Source organism: Homo sapiens, chromosome 1, assembly GCF_000001405.40.
Source record: "Homo sapiens chromosome 1, GRCh38.p14 Primary Assembly".
Classification (NCBI taxonomy): domain Eukaryota; kingdom Metazoa; phylum Chordata; class Mammalia; order Primates; family Hominidae; genus Homo; species Homo sapiens.
In genome coordinates, this window is record NC_000001.11 from 37,990,379 (window position 1) to 38,008,094 (window position 17,716).

Here is a 17,716-nt window from a genome sequence, read left to right on the forward strand (position 1 = left end):
ATTATGAGAACGTTTTCTCTTTCTCTGGACCTCAGCGTCTTTCTCAGGAAAATGGGAATAGTGGGGTTTTGCTGGTGGTGTTTTTAAAAAAATTCACATGTGAGGCCGGGCGCGGTAGCTCACGCCTGTAATCCCAACACTTTGGGAGGCCGAGGCGGGCGGATCACTTGAGGTCAGAGGTTCGAGACGACCAGGCTGGCTAACATGGTGAAACCCCGTCTCTACTAAAAACAAACAAACAAAAATTAGCCGGGCGTGATGGCAGGCGCCTGTAGTCCCAGCTACTCCGGAGGCTGAGGCAGGAGAATCGCTTGAACCCGGGAAGCAGAGGTTGCCGTCAGCTGAGATCGTGCCACTGCACTCCAGCCTGGGCGACAGAATGAGACTCAGTCTCAAAAAAAAAAAAAAAAAAGAAATTCACGTGTAGAAACGACTTGTCTATCGGCAGCGAATATGTTAAATAAAATACTGTGCATCCAACGAGATCAGGAGATTGAGACCATCCTGTCTAACACGGTGAAACCCCGTCTCTACTAAAACTGCAAAAAATTAGCCGGGCATGGTGGCGCGCGCCTGTAGTCACAGCTACTCGGGAGGCTGAGGCAGGAGAATCACTTGAACCCAGGAGGCAGAGGTTGCAGTGAGCTGAGATCATGCCACTGCATTCCAGCTTGGGCGACAGAGAGAGACTCCGTCTCAAAAAAAAGTAAAATAAAATAAAATAAAATACTGTGCATCCAAGCAGTGGAAGACCAGCTGTGAAATGACATACAGCCTTAAAAAAAATTCTGTCTATATATCTCCACTTGTAGGTAGAGAAATGCAAACATGTCCATGTGTTCATATGTTCACAGCGGCATTATTCATAATAGACAAAAACTGGATGCAGCCCAAGAGTCCATTAACTGGCAAATGGATAAAGTGTGGTATATCTATACAGTACAATGGAACATTATTCTGCAATAAATGAATACTACAATGATGAACCATGAAAGCATCATGCTAAGTGAAAGAAGCTAGACAGAAAAACAACAGTGTATGTCCAGATAAAACGTCCAGAACGGTGTTAAAAGAAAAACACTGGTGCTTGCTATGGCAGCACATATACTAAAATTGGAACCATACAGAGAAGATTAGCATGGCCCCTGCAAAAAGAAAAAAAAAAAAAAACACCGGTTATTACAGCTTGGTCTTTGCCTTATTTGAACACGGTTTGCATAGTTTGCCATGTTTGATTGGCCAAAACTCGGTGATTGGCAAAGAGTAGGCTATGGTCTGTTTACAACTCCATTTAGGTTATAGTTCACAATGTACAGAGAAACCTTTAGGCTAAATTTAAAATATGTAAGGAGGCAGCTTTAGGCTACAATTGAGTTAACAAAGGCAAATCTATGGAGGCAGAAATATGAGTGGTTGCTTGTGACCGCAGGTGAGATTGGAAGTGATTACAAATGCGCACAAGGAATCCATTTTGGATGGGTAGAAATGTTCTAAAATTGGATTGTGGTGATAGTTGCATAACTCTATTCATTTTATTAAAATTAATTGCTTTGTACTGTTAAAAATGGGTGAATTTTATGGTATATAAATTACACTTCAATAAAACTGTTAAAAACTCTGTATGAACTCATATGGAGAGATGGCCACACAAACTGAAAAAAGCTAGATGCACAAGTGTGTATAAAAATAGATGTGCAAAGAGATTATTTCTGTAAGGATATCCAAGTAACAGTAAACAGTGGTTGTTCCTGAGCAGACAGCCTTGGAGATCTGATATGGGAGATTTTTCTTTGTATACACCCCAAGCACAGCATAAAAAGTTATTCTTAAACATACTTTTTCAATTTAAAAATTAATTTAAAACTGAAAATACATATGTGCACATTTATGTTTAACAAAAAAGAACGAGGAGGACATAATGCATCACATTATTAGTAATTTACCTATTGTTCACTTTTTTCTTTTTTTTCTTTTTCTTTTTTTTTTTGATAGGGTCTCTCTCTGTTGCCCCAGGCTGGAGTGCAGTGGCATAATCATGGCTCACTGCAGCCTCCACCCCTGTGGCCCCCACAGGTGGGTGCCACCACCCTGGTTAATTTTTTATTTTTTTCCCACGCAACAAAAGCCACATTTAAAGTTTTGTTTTGGGAGTCTCGCTCTGTCGCCAGGCTGGAGTGCAGTGGCGCGATCTCAGCTCACGGCAACCTCTACCTCCTGTGTTCAAGCGATTCTCCTGCCTCAGCCTCCTGAGTAGCTGGGATTACAGGTGACTGCCACCACACCTGGCTAGTTTTTGTATTTTTAGTAGAGACGGGCTTTCACTATGTTGGCCAGGCTGGTCCTGAACTCCTGACCTCCGGGTGATCTGCCTGCCTTGGCCTCCCAAAATGCTGGGATTACAGGTGTGAGCCACCGCACACCAAAAAACTGCGAGGTTTTTTGTTTTTTGTTTTTTTTTGAGACAGGGTCTTTCTGTGTCATCCAAGCTGGAGTGCAGTGGCACGATCTTGGCTCACTGCAACCTCTACCTCCTGGGTTCAAGCAATTCTGCCTCAGTCTCCCTAGTAGCTGGGATTACAGGTGCGTGGCACCATGCCCAGCTAATTTTTGTATTTTTAGCAGAGATGGGGTTTTGCTATGTTGGCCAGGCTGGTCTTGAACTCCTGCCCTCAGGGTGATCCGCCCACCTTGGCCTCCCAAAATGCTGGAATTACAGGCATGAGCTACCACACCAAGCCAAGGTTTTTCTTTTTTTTTTGAGACAGGGTCTTGCCAAGCTGGAGTACAGTGGCACAATCTTGGCTCACTGCAGCCTCGACCTCCTGGGCTAAAGCTATCCTCCCACTTCAGCCTCCTGAGTAGCTGGGACTATAGATGTGCGCCACTACACCCTGCTAATTTTTGTATTTTTTGTAGAGATGGGGTTTTTTGCCGTGTTGCCCAGGCTGGTCTCAAACTCCTGGACTCAAGCGATCTTCCTGCCTTGGCCTCCCAAAATGCTGGGATTATAGGCATGAGCCACCAGACCCGCTGTAATTTTTTAAAAATTTTTACTAGAGATGAGGTCTCACAGTGGTGCCCAGGCTTGTCTGCAACTCCTGAGCTCAAGCAATCCTCCTGCCTTGGCCTCCCAAAGTGCTGGGATTATAGGCGTGAGCCACCGCACCCAGCCCAATTTTTCTACAGTAAACATGCATTACTTTTTGTTTTTAAAAGTTTGAAAGCAGGCTGGGTGCAGTGGCTCACGCCTGTAATCCCAGCACTTTGGGAGGCCAAGCTGGGAATTTCGCTTAAAGCCAGGAGTTCTAGAACAGTCTGGGCAACATAGCGAGACCTCATCTCTACAAAAAATAAGAAAATTAGCTGGGCTTGCTGGCATTTGCCCGTACTCCCAGCTACCTGGGAGGCTGAGGCGGGAGGATCACTTGAGCCCAGGGGTTTGAGGTTACAGTGAGCTATAATCTTCAAGCCTGGGTGACACCCTGTCTCAAAAAAGAAAAAAAAAGTTTGAAAAAACGGAGGCTGGGCATGGTGGCTCACGCCTGTAATCCCAGCACTTTGGGAGGCCGAGGCGGCAGATCACGAGGTCAAGAGATCAAGACCATCCTGGCCAACATGGTGAAACCCCTGTCTCTACTAAAAATACAACAAAATTAGCTGGGCATGGTGGCGCACGCCTGTAGTCCCAGCTACTTGAGAGGCTGAGGCAGGAGAATCACTTGAACCCGGCAGGTGGAGGTTGTAGTGAGCCGAGATCGCGCCACTGCACTCCAGCCTGGCGATAGAGTGAGACTCTGTCTCAATAAATAAATAAATATAAAATGGAAATAGTGACCTGTGTTTTGCCCACTCATGAGGGTGTTATGGGGATCTTATTTGTATATCGGAAATTTAAGCAGGACTGCCAAGCTTAGGGAAAGGACCCAGTCACAACTCATCTGGGGCTTTTCCTGGGACATTAGGAAAGAGGTAAAGTAGAAATCTCCATTCAGGGAGTGGGGAGACTCAGCAAATGTTTTTTGTTTTGTTTTGTTTTTTGGGGGGTATAAACTTGGAGAGCTACTGTATTTCTTGAATACGAGATGCCATCAAATGTAAAACTCAGTATTATTTTATGCTTTACTAAGGAAGAGAGAAAAAATTGTCAATTAAACAATGACACACCTTTGATTATATGTCTGGGTTTCTTTTTTTTTAAGACGGAGTTTTGCTCTTGTCCCCCAGGCTGGACTGCAGTGGTGCTATCTCGGCTCACTGCAACTTCCATCTCCGGATTCAAGTAATTCTCCTGCCTCAACCTCCGGAGTAGCTGGGATTACAGATGCCTGCCACCACACCCAGCTAATTTTTGTATTTTTAGTAGAGGCGAGGCTTCACCATGTTGTCCAGGCTGGTCTCAAACTCCTGACCTCAGGTGATCCACCCGCCTCGGCCTCCCAAAGTGCTGGGATGACAGGCGTGAGCCACTGCGCCTGGCCTTGATTATATGTCTGGGTTTCTAAGATGTTAAGTCTGAAAAATGTTTGTATTGAAATAAATCAAACAATTTTGTAGCTGCACATCTCTCACTTCCTGTTAGGTGGGTGGACCGCCTTACCACCACCATCCTCCAGTCACTGTGTCTCAAACCTGATGCCTTCCTGCCCCTAAATGTTTCTTCATCCCCACTCCAGGCAGCAAGTCTTGCCTTTTCCACTCGAGCTGCTACCTGCTGCAAGATGTCTCACCCGGACCACACTACACTAGCCTCCGAACCAGCCTGCTCATCTTACCCCTCCACTCCATTATTCATGCTGCAGCCAGCATGATCTGTCTACAACTCTGCTCATCACAGGCCCCTGCTTAAACAGTTCCATAGGCTGCATTTCCTGCAGGGTGAGGTCTGTGCAACTTGGCATTCGGCTTTTTAGGACCTGGGCTCTGCCTGCCATTTTACTCTCCTGGCACTTCCTCCAAATGGAATTACTTGCTACTTCCCCAAAGCACCGTATGTTCTCAGGCCTCCAGGCCTTTGCGCCAGTTGTTTTCTATGCTTGGACTGCTCTTCCTCAACAAGTATTTACTGAACACATAGTAAGTGCCGGGAGCTGAGAACGAGAGCGGGGAGCAAGGCAGGCAGGATCTCAGTCCTTAGGCTGGTGGGAGAGAGAAACAAATAAAACCGTAAGCATATGTGGTAATTATTAATTATAAACACACGTGGTAGGCATTCGTAAAAGTTTGTTGAAAATGTCGGGGAGGGAACTTAAGAGGGCGGGTCAATAGTTGCAGCAAACCACCGTGCACACGTATACCTATGTAACAAACCTACACGTTCTGCACACGTATCTTGAAACTTAAAGTAAAATAAAAAAAAAAAAAAGAAAAGAAAATGTCAACCATGGCTTCAGAAAGCGGTTAGAGTCCAGGATCTACCAGTGACTACCTATGTGACTTGGGGCAGCTGACTGCAGGCGTCTCCACCTCTGTGTAATGGAAGTAATAATGCCCGCCCACAGGACGGGAGGAATTAATATGAGATACATACAATCTGGCGGTTTCCGCCGGGCCGGAGGGGCTCTCCCACTCCAGGGCGCCGAGGGTCCGCCTGCCCAGGGCCGGGCCTCGCTGCAGGCAGCTGTGGGCGCCACTGTGTGCGCATACCTGCCCCGACAGCCGGACGGTCGGCCGAGCCCAGACCGCGGCAGCCAGGGTCAGGGACAAGGGACGTCGGACGCCGGGCGGGCGAGGGGAGCGTCGCCCCGCCCATCTCCCCACTTTGGGGGACAGCCCCCCTCGCTCATTCCCGCCTCCACCCTTGACTTGAATCACTGTTGGCGGGGGACGGGGCGTGACCCATTCATGCCGGGAATCGGATCCAGATGTTCCCGCGGCGTGTGCAGCTGCATCCTTGCCTTTTTTGGCAAAAAACGTGCGGCCGCGAGAGGATCCTGGGCCGCCCTTGCTAATCCTTGGGAAGAGGGGGAAGGGGGCTGAGAGGGTCTGGGCCCAGACTGGGGATCGGAACCAGGTCCTTGCTCTGCGGGCTTTGGGCAGGGCTGTTGGCGGAGGAGACTATTCGTACCAGCCAATTAAGGAACCCCACCGCCACCCTGGCTTTCATCTGGAACCTCCCCCAAACCCCTCCCTTCCCTACATGAGGGAAAAAGCCCTCTGCCAGCAGGGAGGCAGGACGAGCTCCAGAGGGAGGGTAGCTGTGGCGGGGATCCCCTTCATGGGGAGAGACTTCCCACCCCATGGCCCGGCCCCCCTCCACCCCACCCTGCAAGGATGAGGTCTAGCAGAGATTCTGAGCCTCCCAGTCTGCAAAAACCCTTCCTTCCCCATTATACCCTGAACACACACACACACACACACACACACACACACACACACACACGGAGGCCCCTGCTTCCTCACACCGCTTTATTGCAGAATCTGGAAGGGGGATGAGCCAATCTCACCCCTCTGCCCATCTATGGGCAAAATGGAGCTGAAATAAAATGAGAAGACACTCGGTGGCGACCTGCTGGGCAGCACCCTGTACCCTAGGGCCCCTTATCAGTGGGCTCCTGATCTGCTGCCCCCACAGCCTCAACCGCGGGGATGGGGTGGGGCAGGTCAAGCCTGAGAACAGTCCACTTTCAAGGACTTCCCAGGCACCCATAGGAGACCTGAAACCTATAAAGAGAAGTCTAGATTTAAGGGGGCCTAAGTCCCAGAGTCCAGGTTTGGAGGGCTCGGGTCTAGAGCCCTGATTTGGGGAGAGGACTCAGTCTGGGAACCCAGACTGCAGGGGAGAGGGTGAATTCTGGAGTCCAGGTGTGGGGAGGGGGCTTGACTCATGGAGGCTCTGTAAGAGCCCAGGTTTGGGGCCCTGGGTCAGGGAGTACCAGTTTGGGGATGCTGGAGTGGGGAGACAATCCTGGAGCCCAGAAGGAGACCCATTTTTTTTGGCGGGGGGAGCTGAGTCCCAGAGGTGGTTTAGAAAAGGAGCCACAGTCCTGGGCCCGTGGTATGGGAAAGCCTGGGTCCAGGAGCCCTGGCTTAGGGCCCTGCCTGGCTACAGCCCTGGCAGAGCACTTGGTCTCCATCCGGTACGAAGCCCTGGCCCACCAGGGAGGTAGAGCAGCGGGCGCAGGAGAAGCAGTTGTGGTGCCAGTGTCGGTCTTCAAAGGACACATACTTGCCTCCACCGAGTCCTGGAGGGAGGCTGGAAGTTAGCTATGCAGATGTGGGGATGGTCCGGCCCTCAACCTCACCCAATACCACATCCCACTCCCTTGCCTGCACCCTACCCACTCCGTTCTTTGACCCTTGTCCCACCTACGATGGGGCGCTTGCAGCTGCTGCACTTAGGTGCAAAGAGTTCTCCAAAACAGGCCACACAGTAGGGATCTTCATCCCGGGAGGTGAACTGCTGCCCTGCCAGGGGCGTCTGGCATCCGGTACAGACCAGACATTCTCGATGCCACGGCTGATCACGGTATGTCACTCCACCCTGTGTCAGCGTCTGTGGGGGCAGCATCCATTAGTAGGTATGAGTGGGGATTCCCACCCCACAACAGGCCTCACTCACCCCCACCTGGCTGGCCCAGCCCCCACCTTGCTGCAGCGGGCGCAGCGAGGAGCAAACTTGTTCTCATAGCAGGGCACGCAGTAGTGAGCACCCTTGTCGGGCACAAAAGAACGGGAGCCCAGTGGCTGTTCACAGCCACTGCACAGGAAGCAGTGCTCATGCCATGTCTGGCCTCCATATTCCAGCTTCCGGGACCCTGTGGGGAACAGGGGTCCCATTTAGAGGTTGTGTCCCATGCTCCTGAGGGCCACCCTCTGTAACTTCCCCAGGAGTCTCCACTCCTCTCTCAGCGTGAGCAGGGTGGTGTCCGTGCACATGCAGCAAGAACCCCCCCGCCCTATGTATATTACACATGCTAACCTCTCCCCAGACACCGGACATGATGACCCAGCTAGACACGAGGGTTTTGGCCTATGTTAAGCCCCCATATGTCCCAGAGATGACAATTTCAGCACACATCAAGCCTCCATGTAACAGTCATGAAGTCTCACTAAGAGCTAAGCCCTCATATAACAGATGTGATGATTTTAGCACTCACATGGGACCCCACATGTACCAGGCAAGTAAGTATCTGCCCACACAAAGTTCTAATGCCCTGGGCATGACAGGTTCGGTACATGCTAAGCCCTCGCATCTCCTCGGCACACCATTCTCCATAGGTGCTGAGTCCCAGCATTTCTATTAGGCATGCAGGTCCCCACACATGTTAAGCCCTCTGTTTATCTGCTTCTGCATACATTAAGACCCAATGCAACAAGCATGACAGTCTCAGCACACCTCTAGTTCCTACCTGTACTAAACATGCAGATATTCACACATGCTAAGCCCCCAAGTATGTATCACATGTGTCAATCTGCCTGTACATAGTAGCCCCCAGGAGTATACCAGGCAAACAGATCCCGTATATACTAAATTTCCAGAAACATGCTGTGTATGCAGGTCTTTACACAGACCAAGTCTCCATGTATCAGACAGACACATGCAAAGACCCTACGCAGATGCCAGTTCTCACACAAGATGAGCCCCTGAACACATACCAGGCATGACAGTCTCCCCACAAGCGGAGCACTGCGAGGAAAACGCACTGCAGTAGCAGTCATTGCAGAGCAGCTCACTGTCCTGGCAGGTGAAGGGTTCATCGGCTAGTGAGCGCTGGCAGCGGCAGCAGCGGAAGCAGCCCTCGTGGAAATGGCGGTCTTCATAGAACAGCTCCTGTGGGGAACACAGCAGGGGCACTGGCACCCAGGCCTCATGGACCCATCCTTTGCCCCCTTCCACTGGTCACCACCCACCTCCTGCCTGGCCTGGCCCTCTCCTTACCCTCGAGTCATGCCCGATAAGCTGCTGGCACTCAGCACAGGTGTTGGCAAAGGTATTGTCATAGCAGGGCACACAGTAGGGGCCGCTGTCTGTCTGGATGTACTTGCGTCCATACAGGGACTCGTTGCATTTTGCACAGTCAAATGACTCGCTCATGGTGGCAAGGGGAGAGAACCCTGTTAGGAGCACAAGGTGGAACTGGGGTCACACAGAGAGGCTGTGGCTTGGCTCCTGGCAAAGAGGCCTCTGCATTCAAAACACAGCCAAGAGACCCGGCATAGGAAATGCCAGTTCAGAGTAGGTGGGGATGGGGAAGGGGTGCTTCTGGGAAACCAGGAATCCCACATGTTTCTTTCTGTATTTAACTCGGGGTAGGAAGAGGTCAGGAAAAAAACCAGGAAGCAGAAGTTGTTTTCTTATCTAGGCCCTAGCAGATCTAGGGGGAGGGGGCTTTTCCTGGGTCAGTGACTCATTTCCTGTCCCAGCCAGCGTCTAGCCTCCACTGTCCCGACTGTCCCCAGCGTGGGAGAAGCAGGGGCAGGGAGCCACCCCACTCTACTCCTTATGAGCAGTACTCCCACCCTCTCCTGACTCCCAGGAAGGGACTTTAGGAATATGGATAAAGGAACCCTTAACCAGAGCTCTGGAGTACAGAACTTAGAGACGGGAATGGGCTGTGCCTGCCCCTCCTGATCCAGAAAACAGTGGAATGCTAGAGAGGTGCTGGACTAATGAATGGTAGAAGAGGCCAGTGTGAGAGGTTGGGCCTTCCCTCCCGGGGAATCAGCCAAGCAATGGGAACTTCAGAGGCTCAGCTTAGGTTCAAGCAGGAAGGAAATCCTGCAAGCTGGACACAGCCAGTCTTCCCTAGCTAGACCCTCTGCCCTCATCCCCCCACCCCCGCTGTGTCACACCAGCTTGGACAGCCTTGGCCTGTAACATCTGCAGCAGCTGTGGCGGCACAGATGGCCAGATGTCAGGTTTTGCCAGCAATGGGGAGAAAAAAGGAAAATGAAGTGTCGGGGGAGGCAGAGGGGAACTGGAGACAGACTGGGAGTGCAGTGTACCCCCTGCCACCTCCTGCTAACATCTGGCAAAACCCCAGGATCTTTCCATCCCCTGGGGTCATGATTTCCCTCCTACTGCCTCTGGGAGAGAAGGTCTCTCCCACCTTTTCCGATTTCTCAGGGTTTGGGACTAGGGAGCTGAAAGGAGAGAGAGCAAGAGCCACTGAAGACATTTTCTCCCCAATCAGGCCCCATCTTGGGTGGGGAGTAGGACAAGGGGGAGCCCTGAGAGCTGCTGCTGGAGACACCCAGCCCCCGACCAAACCTCAGACACTTTCCATTTTCTCAGGAACAAAGCATGTTTGTGGGATGAGGTCATCCACACAGCTGCCTCTGGAACAGGAGCCTAGGGAGTGGAGCGGTAGGGAAGTGGGGTTCCCAGACCTTTCTGCTGCCCCGGATTCCAGTCTCTAGCCCCAAAGTCAGAGCTCCCACCCCTGCTCTCCTCCATCATGAAGGCTGCTCTCTAAGGGCTGGGATCCTGGGGTAGTGGAGAGGAACCACCAGGACCCATAGGAAGGAGATGTTCTCACAGCTGTGGATGAGCCCGGGGAAGTTACAGGGACACACAAAGGAATCCACCAACCCACTCTCCCACAAGGCTCCAGTGCTGGCAGTCGCCAGGGCCTGCCCTGGCTCAAGCTGAAGGAGAAGTCCTCCTTTTCTCATCCACCCCCAGTGCGAAATTCTTGACAACAAGCGCTGCTCTGGCTTGAAGTTCAGACTCCAGGCACCAGCAGATGCCCCCAGCTTGGAGGCCTGACTCTCCATACATCAAGCCTCTGCGCAATGGGAGAACAGCCAGCTTGCGCTCCAGGCCAGGGCATGAGGCCACCAGGGGCCAGGGTCTTTAGAGCTGGAACTCCTGGGCTGGGGGCTATGGTGTAGAGAAGATACTCCTCTTTCTCAGCCCCCTTCCTGCCACTCAGGCCCAGGTTTCCTCTGGCCCAACATCTGAGGATTGCCTGGGCTGTCAGCCACGGGGCAGCAGGGGGCCACACAGGTGGAATGCGTCCACAGGGGGTGCCTGGGCCTCTTCCTTCCTTCTTGGCTTGGCCCACTGCGGCTGCCACCTTCTCAGGCCCAGGCTAGACTTGGGTCCACCCCCTGAGAGACAGTCAGCACTCCGAAACCAGGGCAACCCAAATAGGGTATGGGCATGGCTTCTATTTCCTTCCCAGAATCCCCCAATGCCCTAGTCTATCCAGCTGGGCTCTGGTGAGGACAGAGTAAAGGGCACCAACAAGGCCCACCTGTCTCTGCCCATACCCCTCTCCCTGCCCTTTTCCCTGGCAAGGCTGGGGACTGCGGGGACTGAAGGGAGCCAGCCTTGTATTCCTTCCTGACCGGCAGTGGGGCGGGGTTTGGGGGAGACTGCTCCTCTACAGATGGCTCACAACCCTGCACCTCCAACAATCTCCCCTCACAAGGCACCTCCCAGTGAACCTCCTGGAGCTCAGAATGACTGCGTAACTGGCTATGGTGTATGGAGCAGCTCAAGCTGTAAGGTTTGAATCCTGGCTCCTGCACTTACTGGCTGAGTGATCTTGGGCAAATCCCTAAGCCTGTTTTCCCATCTAATTAAATGAGATACTACCACTTCCTACCTCCTAAGTTTGTTGTCAGGCTTAAATGTGATGATACTTGTAAAGCACCTGGCAGATAATAAATACTCAGAAAATGGTAGCTATTAGTATTTTACTATTAGCGCCCTCACTCATACTGGGGCCAGATAGCAGTTTCACAGGCAGGTCTGGGTCAAGCAGCTGGACTGGAATTTTTTTTTTTTTTTTGAGACAGAGTCTCGCTCTGTCGCCCAGGCTGGGGTACAGTGGCGCAATCTCGGCTCACTGCAACCTCCACCTCCCGGGTTCAAGTGATTCTCCTCCCTCAGCCTCCCGAGTAGCTGGGACTACAGGCACCTGCTACCACGCCCGGCTAATTTTTTGTATTTTTAGTAGAGACGGGGTTTCACTGTGTTAGTCAGGATGGTCTCGAACTCCTGACCTCATGATCTCCCTGCCTCAGCCTCCCAAAGTGCTGGGATTACAGGCATGAACCACCACACCCTGCCTGGACTAGAATTTTTAAATAGAGATGGGGTCTCAATATGCTGCGCAGGCTGGTCTCAAACTCCTGGGCTCAAGCTATCCTCTTGCCTTGGGTTCCCAAAGTGCTGGGATTACAGGCATGAGCCACAGTGCCAGCCCAATTTTTTTTTTTTTTTTTTTTTTGAGACAGGGTCTCACTCTGTCACCCAGACTGGAGCGCAGTTAACTCCATCTCGGCTCACTGCAATCTCCACCTCCCAGGTTCAAGCGATTCTTCTGCCTCAGCCTCCCAAGTAGCTGGGATTACAGGAGGGCACCACCATGCCCAGCTAATTTTTGTATTTTTAGTAGAGATGGAGAGTTTCGCCATGTTGGCCAAGCTGGTGTCCGCTCAGCCTTTTTGTTTTTTTTTTTTGTTTTGAGTTGGGGTCTCACTCTGTTGCCAGGGCTGGAGTGCAGTGGCACGATCATGGCTCACGGCAGCCTCGAACTTCTGTGCTCAGCCAGGTGAGGTGGCTCACACCTGTAATCCCAGCACTTTGGGAGGTTAAGGCCGGTGGATCACCTGAGGTCAGGAGTTCAAGACCAGCCTGGCCAACATGGTGAAAACCCATCTCCACTAAAAATACAAAAATTAACTAGGCATGGTGGCGGGCGCCTGTAAGCCCAGCTACTCAGGAGGCTGAGGCAGGAGAATTGCTTGAACCGAGGAGGTGAAGGTTGCAGTGAGCCAAGATCATGTCATTACACTCCAGCCTGGGCTACAACAGCAAAACTCTGTCTCAAAACAAAACAAAACAACAACAAAAAAAACAACTCTGGGCTCAAGCAAACCACCTGCCTCAGCCTCCTGAGTAGATGGGACTACAGCCATGTGCCACCATGCCCAGCTAGGTTTTTCTATTTTTTGTAGAGATGGGGTTCTCACTATGTTGCCCAGGGTGGTCTTGAACTCCTGGCTTCAAGTGATCCTCTGGCCTCAGCCTTCCAAAGTGCTGGGGTTACAGGCGTGAGCCACTGTGCCCAGCCTGGTCTGAAATTTGACCTGGACATTCTCAGCATAGGCCCAGGGAGAGAATAGGGGGCCCCAGGCCCATGGGGCTTGCTGAGGACACCAGTGGGGAAAGTGGTCGCTTCAGTCCGGTCAGCCTGACTCTAGTAAGCTTAACTCTTGAGATCTCTCATGCAGGTCCACGGATGTAGACACCTGCATGCTGCTTTGCCACTCACAAAGTCCATGCCCACCACAATCTCATCAGATCTCACAAAAGGCAGGCAGGACAGAGTATCATCCCCATTTTACAGCTGAGCACAAGGAGGCCAGGAATAGAGCAGGTTCATGCCCAAGGTCCCGATCAGGACCCAGGTCCCCTGCCTCCCAGCCCAGAGCTCTTCCCTCTCCCTAAAAATGCTGCCCTGGTGATGAAGCGGATGGTGACATGGGGGTGGTCAGTTTTTAAGGGCAGGGGAACAGGAGATGCACCAGAGCCTGGCTCTTCTCCTCAGCTGCTAGCCCTGTGATTGGAAGACACCCAGAAGCCTTTCCAATGCCCCATGCCAACCATTCAATCCTTCTGCCCCCACCCCCAACATGCCCACTGTCCAGGAGGACCCTGGCCAGGTCCCACAGCTGTGAGTCAGGATCAGAACAGACCCCTCCCCCACCTTCTAGAAGCTGACAGGAGACTTAAGGGGAGAAATCCAACTCCCTCAACCCTCACCCTCTGCTACCGGGCACCAACCCCAAGCTCTGCTCTCCCCCATGTGGCCTGGAAGTCAGAGAAGTTTAGGGAAGGGGGTTGGGGAGCAAGATCCCGCAGCTGCTCTGGGGACATGAGAGGAACAGTTCATTCACCCTGGGTCCCCCAGGGCTGAGGCAGCCCATCCAAGATTTGAGTTCAAAAATAAGTTGGGGCTGTCTTGGTGGCTGTGTGTGTGCGTGGGGCTCTTCTTGATCTCGAACTTACTGTCTCAGGGCCTCTGCCTCATGGGGGATCGGTAGGCTCAGAGTTTCTGTTTCCCCACAGCCTCACCTCCCAATGGTTCAGGCCCGGGTAAGTCAGGGGCTGTCCTGGAAGCTGTCAGACCACCTAGGTCTCTCTGCCCCCACTTAGTCTCAGTTTCTGGTGTCTGTCTCTGCTTCACTCAGCATCTCTGTGTCTGGGCACACTTCAGTCTCTGTCTTTAGGTTTTGGACGGCTCTGTATCTTGACTGGCTGTCCCCCAGGGGGCCCATGCCTCTGTGGATCTCAAGTCTTGGTCTCTTCTTGTCTACATGGCTGAATGTCTCAATCCCCACCACCTCCCTTTCTCTGTCTCTGCATCCAAGTCTCTTTCGCCACCTCTGCACGCCTGAATGTCTCTGTCTCTAGTCTCTGAGCGTCTCTGCAGGCCTCAGAGAGCAGATTCAGCATGAGGCCAATGACGCCCAAGCCTCAGGGCACCTCCAAGGCCCGGGGAAGGGCCCTAGGGAATGTGTTCGCTGGGGTCCCACGTATGCTTTTTCTGAAAATGCTCCACAAAGCCTAGGACGGCCCCCATGCCTCGGGTCTGTCCACCAGTAACTCTGTACGCCCGGTGTGTCCTTGTTTCAGTGGTCTCGGTAGCCTCCTGTGCCTCGAGTCCCTGCCTGTCTCGGTCTCTCGCTCCACCGGGCTTTCCGAGAACCTCAGTTTCTCCAGCGCTTCTGGTCGGTCGGTCTGTCTGTCTCTCTCCGGCTTTTCTATTTCAAACTTAGCCCCCTCCCCCGCCCAACTCTCGCTGCCGCCCCCGCCCCCGCCCCGCCCGATAGCCCGGAGGGGTCCAGTCCCGGCGGGCGCTGTCCCGGGCTCGGCGTGCCCCGGGCACCCGTGGCCAGAGCCCGGCGGGTACAGGGGACCGGGGCCGCGGCTGGCCTCAGCCCTCCGCGGGTCCCTTCGCTCCCCGGCCTGGGCGCGGGGGCGGACCGCCAGGGCTGGGAGCCGGGGTCGGCGGGGCGCTCACCTCGAAGCGGGCGGCGGGAGCGGGGAGCGCGCGGCGCAGGCGGGGCCGGGAACCGGGCGCCGCGTCCCTCGGCGGCTCCTACCTGCGGGCCGGGCCAAGCGGGGGCCGAGCGAGCTGCCGGCGAGGCTGCCGACTGCAGACGGACCGTGTGGGCGAGTGGGAGCGCGGCCCCAACCCCTCCCCGAGGAAGTGAGCGCGGGCCCGCCCCGCCCGGACCCCGCCCCCGGCCCCCCAGCCCGCCGCGGGGGCCAGACCCCGCCCCCACCTCCCTTTCGGCCGCCAGTCGGCCCGGCCCCCTCCTCCCGCCCGGCCTAACCTGGCTCTCCCAACCTTCAAGCGGCCGGGACCCCGCCCCTGTCCCCTCCCCGCAGCCTCTGTTCTCCTCCCCTCCCACCCCCCATCCCCAGCTGCCAGAGGGAGACTGCTGTATTCCATCTCAGGCCGGCGACACGAGACCCCGCAGACCATGGTCCACTGGGGGAGTCCTCTGGCCTCCTCGGATCCCCCCACCCCTTCACCTTACCCCAGGGGTGACACTCAGCCCGGCCTTAATCCAGCCTGGAGGAGGACGTTTTGACTCTGCTGTCATGAGCCTGTCAGCGGGCACCAAGGTGTTCTCTGAAAACATGGGACGAAGAGAGGACCCCTCCCCACCATAGGGCCTTGACCTCCAAAGGGTTTTATTCCACAACTTTGAGTAGCAAAAACAGGGGTAACCACCTCCCCACTTCCAGCAGCCTCCTGACACTGAGAAGTCCTGCCTTGCCTGGGTTTCCGCAGTGCCCAGGAATAGTTTTGACCTTTGAGGCCCGGGGGAGACCCTAATCCTCGGCCCCATGATCTTTGGGCTTCTAGGGTGGGGTGTGAGGAGTGTGAGAGGATGGGGCACCTCAGGGGTGGTGGAGGAGAGGGGAGGGGACCTCTGCGGTGTCTGAGCCTCTGGCTTCCTCCCTGTGTCCGTGAGGGAGGACTGGCGCCTGCTAGGGACACGAGGCCCCTCCAGGTCCTTAAGGCCACCCCCCCTGGGATCCTCAGGCTTGTCACTAGGAATAAATAGCCTCAGTCTGGAAGAGGTGGGGGAGGGAGGGAGGCAGGAGGCTCTACTGTGCTGTTTGTGGAAACAAGAGACAACAAATCAACCCCGGAATAACCTTAGCATCTAGAGTGAAGATTCAGGTGCCCACAGAGGCCTCCCCACACCCCAGGCTGGGTGTAGCAGAGCTCTCACGGAGGAACTAACACCCTCCCAGGCTGGGGCTCCTGAGAACCTTTCCGTCCCATCTCTGCATCATGCCTGGGTTCCTGGGTCCCAAGTCACCCACCAGGTCTGGTTTCCTTTCAAAATTAAATCATTGCTTGCTTATTATTGCTGTTGTTGCCTAAATGGTAAGAGCCATGAAGGCAGGGCTCCGTTTTGTTCCCCACTGCCTTCTCAGTACTTACTCCAATATCCGGCACATAATAAACATCTGATGAATGAATGGATACCAGACACTGCTTCAGTATGTATGCCCCTCTAACATCCTCGGTTTGGATCACAGGCACCTGCTATCTGGAGTCCAGGCAGTGAGCATCCAGCCCATGGATGGGGCCTTTTTCTGGGATTTTTTTTTTTTTTTTTTTTTTTTTTTTTTTTGAGATGGAGGCTTGCTCTGTTGCCCAGGCCGGAGTGCAGTGGCGCACTCTCCGCTCACTACAACCTCCACCTCCCAGGTTCAAGCGATTCTTCTGCCTCAGCCTCCCAAGTAGCTGGGACTGCAGGTGTGCACCACCACGCCCGGCTAAATTTTTTTTTTGTATTTTTAGTAGAGACGGGGTTTCACCATCTTGGCCAGGCTGGTCTCAAACTCCTGACCTCAAGATCTGATCTGCCTGCCCCAGCCTCCCAAAGTGCTGGGACCACAGGCATGAGTGACCATGCCCAGCCTCTCTGGGATGTATCTTGCAGGTGTAAGAGACTCCCAGCCCAGGGGAGTGCAGTGAAGACTACTCAGCCTTGGTGGAGTGGGTACCAAGAGGAGGTCAGCTCTGGGGGACGGGAGGGCAAAGGTGGGGAGCCTTCAGAAAGCAAGGGGTTATGAGTGAGTACAGAAGGGGCCTGATAAAAGGCAGAGTATTGGAATCTCTGTTCTTGATGCATGGCTCTAATCTCTCCTAAATAGCCTTAATGAGAGCCAGTACTTCCTGAGTTCTTTCTTTGCACCAGTCCTGAACACTTTACATATATTGACATACCTGATTATTCAATAACTTTATTAAATATATGTGCATCTATATTTGTTTGTTTTTGAGACAGTGTGTTGCTCTGTCACCCAGGCTGGAGTGCAGTGGTGTAATCACGGCTCACTGTAACCTTAACCTCCTGGGCTCAAGCGATCCTCTTACCTCAGTCTCCCAAGTAACTGGGACTACAGGTGTGGGCCACCACACTGAGCTAATTTATTTTAATTTTAATTTTTTGTAAAGGCAGGGGTCTTATTAAGTTGCCCAGGCTGGTCTTGAACTTCTGGGCTCAAGCAATCCTCTTGCCTCAGCCCCACAAAGTGCTGGGATTACAGGCATGAGCCACTATTCCTGGCCTAAATATATATTTTCATCCTCATTTTAAAGATGAGAAAATGGAGGCACAGAGAGATTAAGTAACCTGGCAAGGGCGACACAGGTAATAATGGCAAAGCTAGGATACAAATCCCAATGGTTGGCCGGGCTTGGTGGCTCTTGCCTGTAATCCCAGCACT

The 17,716-nt window shown here is 53.2% G+C and overlaps 1 protein-coding gene and 1 pseudogene across 2 annotated transcripts, besides 8 other annotated features; one reads left to right on the top strand and one right to left on the bottom strand.

Annotated features, from left to right (window-relative positions):
- Positions 257 to 802: an enhancer, noted in NCBI's record as "H3K27ac-H3K4me1 hESC enhancer chr1:38456307-38456852 (GRCh37/hg19 assembly coordinates)". NCBI's record gives its function as "activates a minimal SCP1, AML or CMV promoter by ChIP-STARR-seq in naive H9 embryonic stem cells {active_cell/tissue: H9 hESC(naive)}" and the evidence as "EXISTENCE:reporter gene assay evidence [ECO:0000049][PMID:30033119]".
- Positions 1,084 to 1,156, top strand: RNU6-510P (RNA, U6 small nuclear 510, pseudogene; annotated as a pseudogene).
- Positions 6,239 to 6,533: a silencer, noted in NCBI's record as "tiled region #8264; K562 Repressive non-DNase unmatched - State 14:Gen5'". NCBI's record gives its function as "represses a minimal TATA promoter and a strong SV40 promoter by Sharpr-MPRA in K562 cells {active_cell/tissue: K562}" and the evidence as "EXISTENCE:reporter gene assay evidence [ECO:0000049][PMID:27701403]".
- On the bottom strand, positions 6,392 to 15,136 carry FHL3 (four and a half LIM domains 3). Of its 2 annotated transcripts, NM_004468.5 has the most exons (6): positions 14,979 to 15,136; positions 8,879 to 9,054; positions 8,596 to 8,770; positions 7,585 to 7,754; positions 7,306 to 7,492; positions 6,392 to 7,181 (listed from the first exon to the last, which is right to left on the bottom strand). In NM_004468.5, the coding sequence occupies exons 2-6, from the start codon at positions 9,032 to 9,034 to the stop codon at positions 7,027 to 7,029; spliced, it is 843 nt and encodes a 280-aa protein (NP_004459.2). In that variant the 5' UTR covers positions 9,035 to 9,054; positions 14,979 to 15,136; the 3' UTR covers positions 6,392 to 7,026. The 2 variants fall into 2 exon arrangements, with proteins under 2 accessions (NP_004459.2, NP_001230807.1); NM_001243878.2 differs by lacking the exon at positions 8,879 to 9,054.
- Positions 7,110 to 8,031: an enhancer, noted in NCBI's record as "H3K27ac-H3K4me1 hESC enhancer chr1:38463160-38464081 (GRCh37/hg19 assembly coordinates)". NCBI's record gives its function as "activates a minimal SCP1, AML or CMV promoter by ChIP-STARR-seq in naive H9 embryonic stem cells {active_cell/tissue: H9 hESC(naive)}" and the evidence as "EXISTENCE:reporter gene assay evidence [ECO:0000049][PMID:30033119]".
- Positions 9,121 to 9,908: an enhancer, noted in NCBI's record as "H3K27ac-H3K4me1 hESC enhancer chr1:38465171-38465958 (GRCh37/hg19 assembly coordinates)". NCBI's record gives its function as "activates a minimal SCP1, AML or CMV promoter by ChIP-STARR-seq in primed H9 embryonic stem cells {active_cell/tissue: H9 hESC(primed)}" and the evidence as "EXISTENCE:reporter gene assay evidence [ECO:0000049][PMID:30033119]".
- Positions 9,909 to 10,696: an enhancer, noted in NCBI's record as "H3K27ac-H3K4me1 hESC enhancer chr1:38465959-38466746 (GRCh37/hg19 assembly coordinates)". NCBI's record gives its function as "activates a minimal SCP1, AML or CMV promoter by ChIP-STARR-seq in naive and primed H9 embryonic stem cells {active_cell/tissue: H9 hESC(naive and primed)}" and the evidence as "EXISTENCE:reporter gene assay evidence [ECO:0000049][PMID:30033119]".
- Positions 13,146 to 13,954: an enhancer, noted in NCBI's record as "H3K27ac-H3K4me1 hESC enhancer chr1:38469196-38470004 (GRCh37/hg19 assembly coordinates)". NCBI's record gives its function as "activates a minimal SCP1, AML or CMV promoter by ChIP-STARR-seq in primed H9 embryonic stem cells {active_cell/tissue: H9 hESC(primed)}" and the evidence as "EXISTENCE:reporter gene assay evidence [ECO:0000049][PMID:30033119]".
- Positions 14,807 to 15,166: a silencer, noted in NCBI's record as "silent region_684". NCBI's record gives its function as "represses an Ori minimal core promoter by ATAC-STARR-seq in GM12878 lymphoblastoid cells {active_cell/tissue: GM12878}" and the evidence as "EXISTENCE:reporter gene assay evidence [ECO:0000049][PMID:35858748]".
- Positions 15,197 to 15,256: a silencer, noted in NCBI's record as "silent region_685". NCBI's record gives its function as "represses an Ori minimal core promoter by ATAC-STARR-seq in GM12878 lymphoblastoid cells {active_cell/tissue: GM12878}" and the evidence as "EXISTENCE:reporter gene assay evidence [ECO:0000049][PMID:35858748]".

Excerpts from the sequence above, each read along its gene's own strand:
- FHL3 (NM_004468.5), bottom strand. The coding sequence starts at position 9,034 with ATGAGCGAGTCATTTGACTGTGCAAAATGCAACGAGTCCCTGTATGGA. Across the intron at positions 8,771-8,878 it reads TTATCGGGCATGACTCGAGG|GAGCTGTTCTATGAAGACCG; the intron begins GTAAGGAGAGGG and ends TGTTCCCCACAG. Across the intron at positions 7,755-8,595 it reads TGGGGAGACTGTCATGCCTG|GGTCCCGGAAGCTGGAATAT; the intron begins GTATGTGTTCAG and ends TGTTCCCCACAG.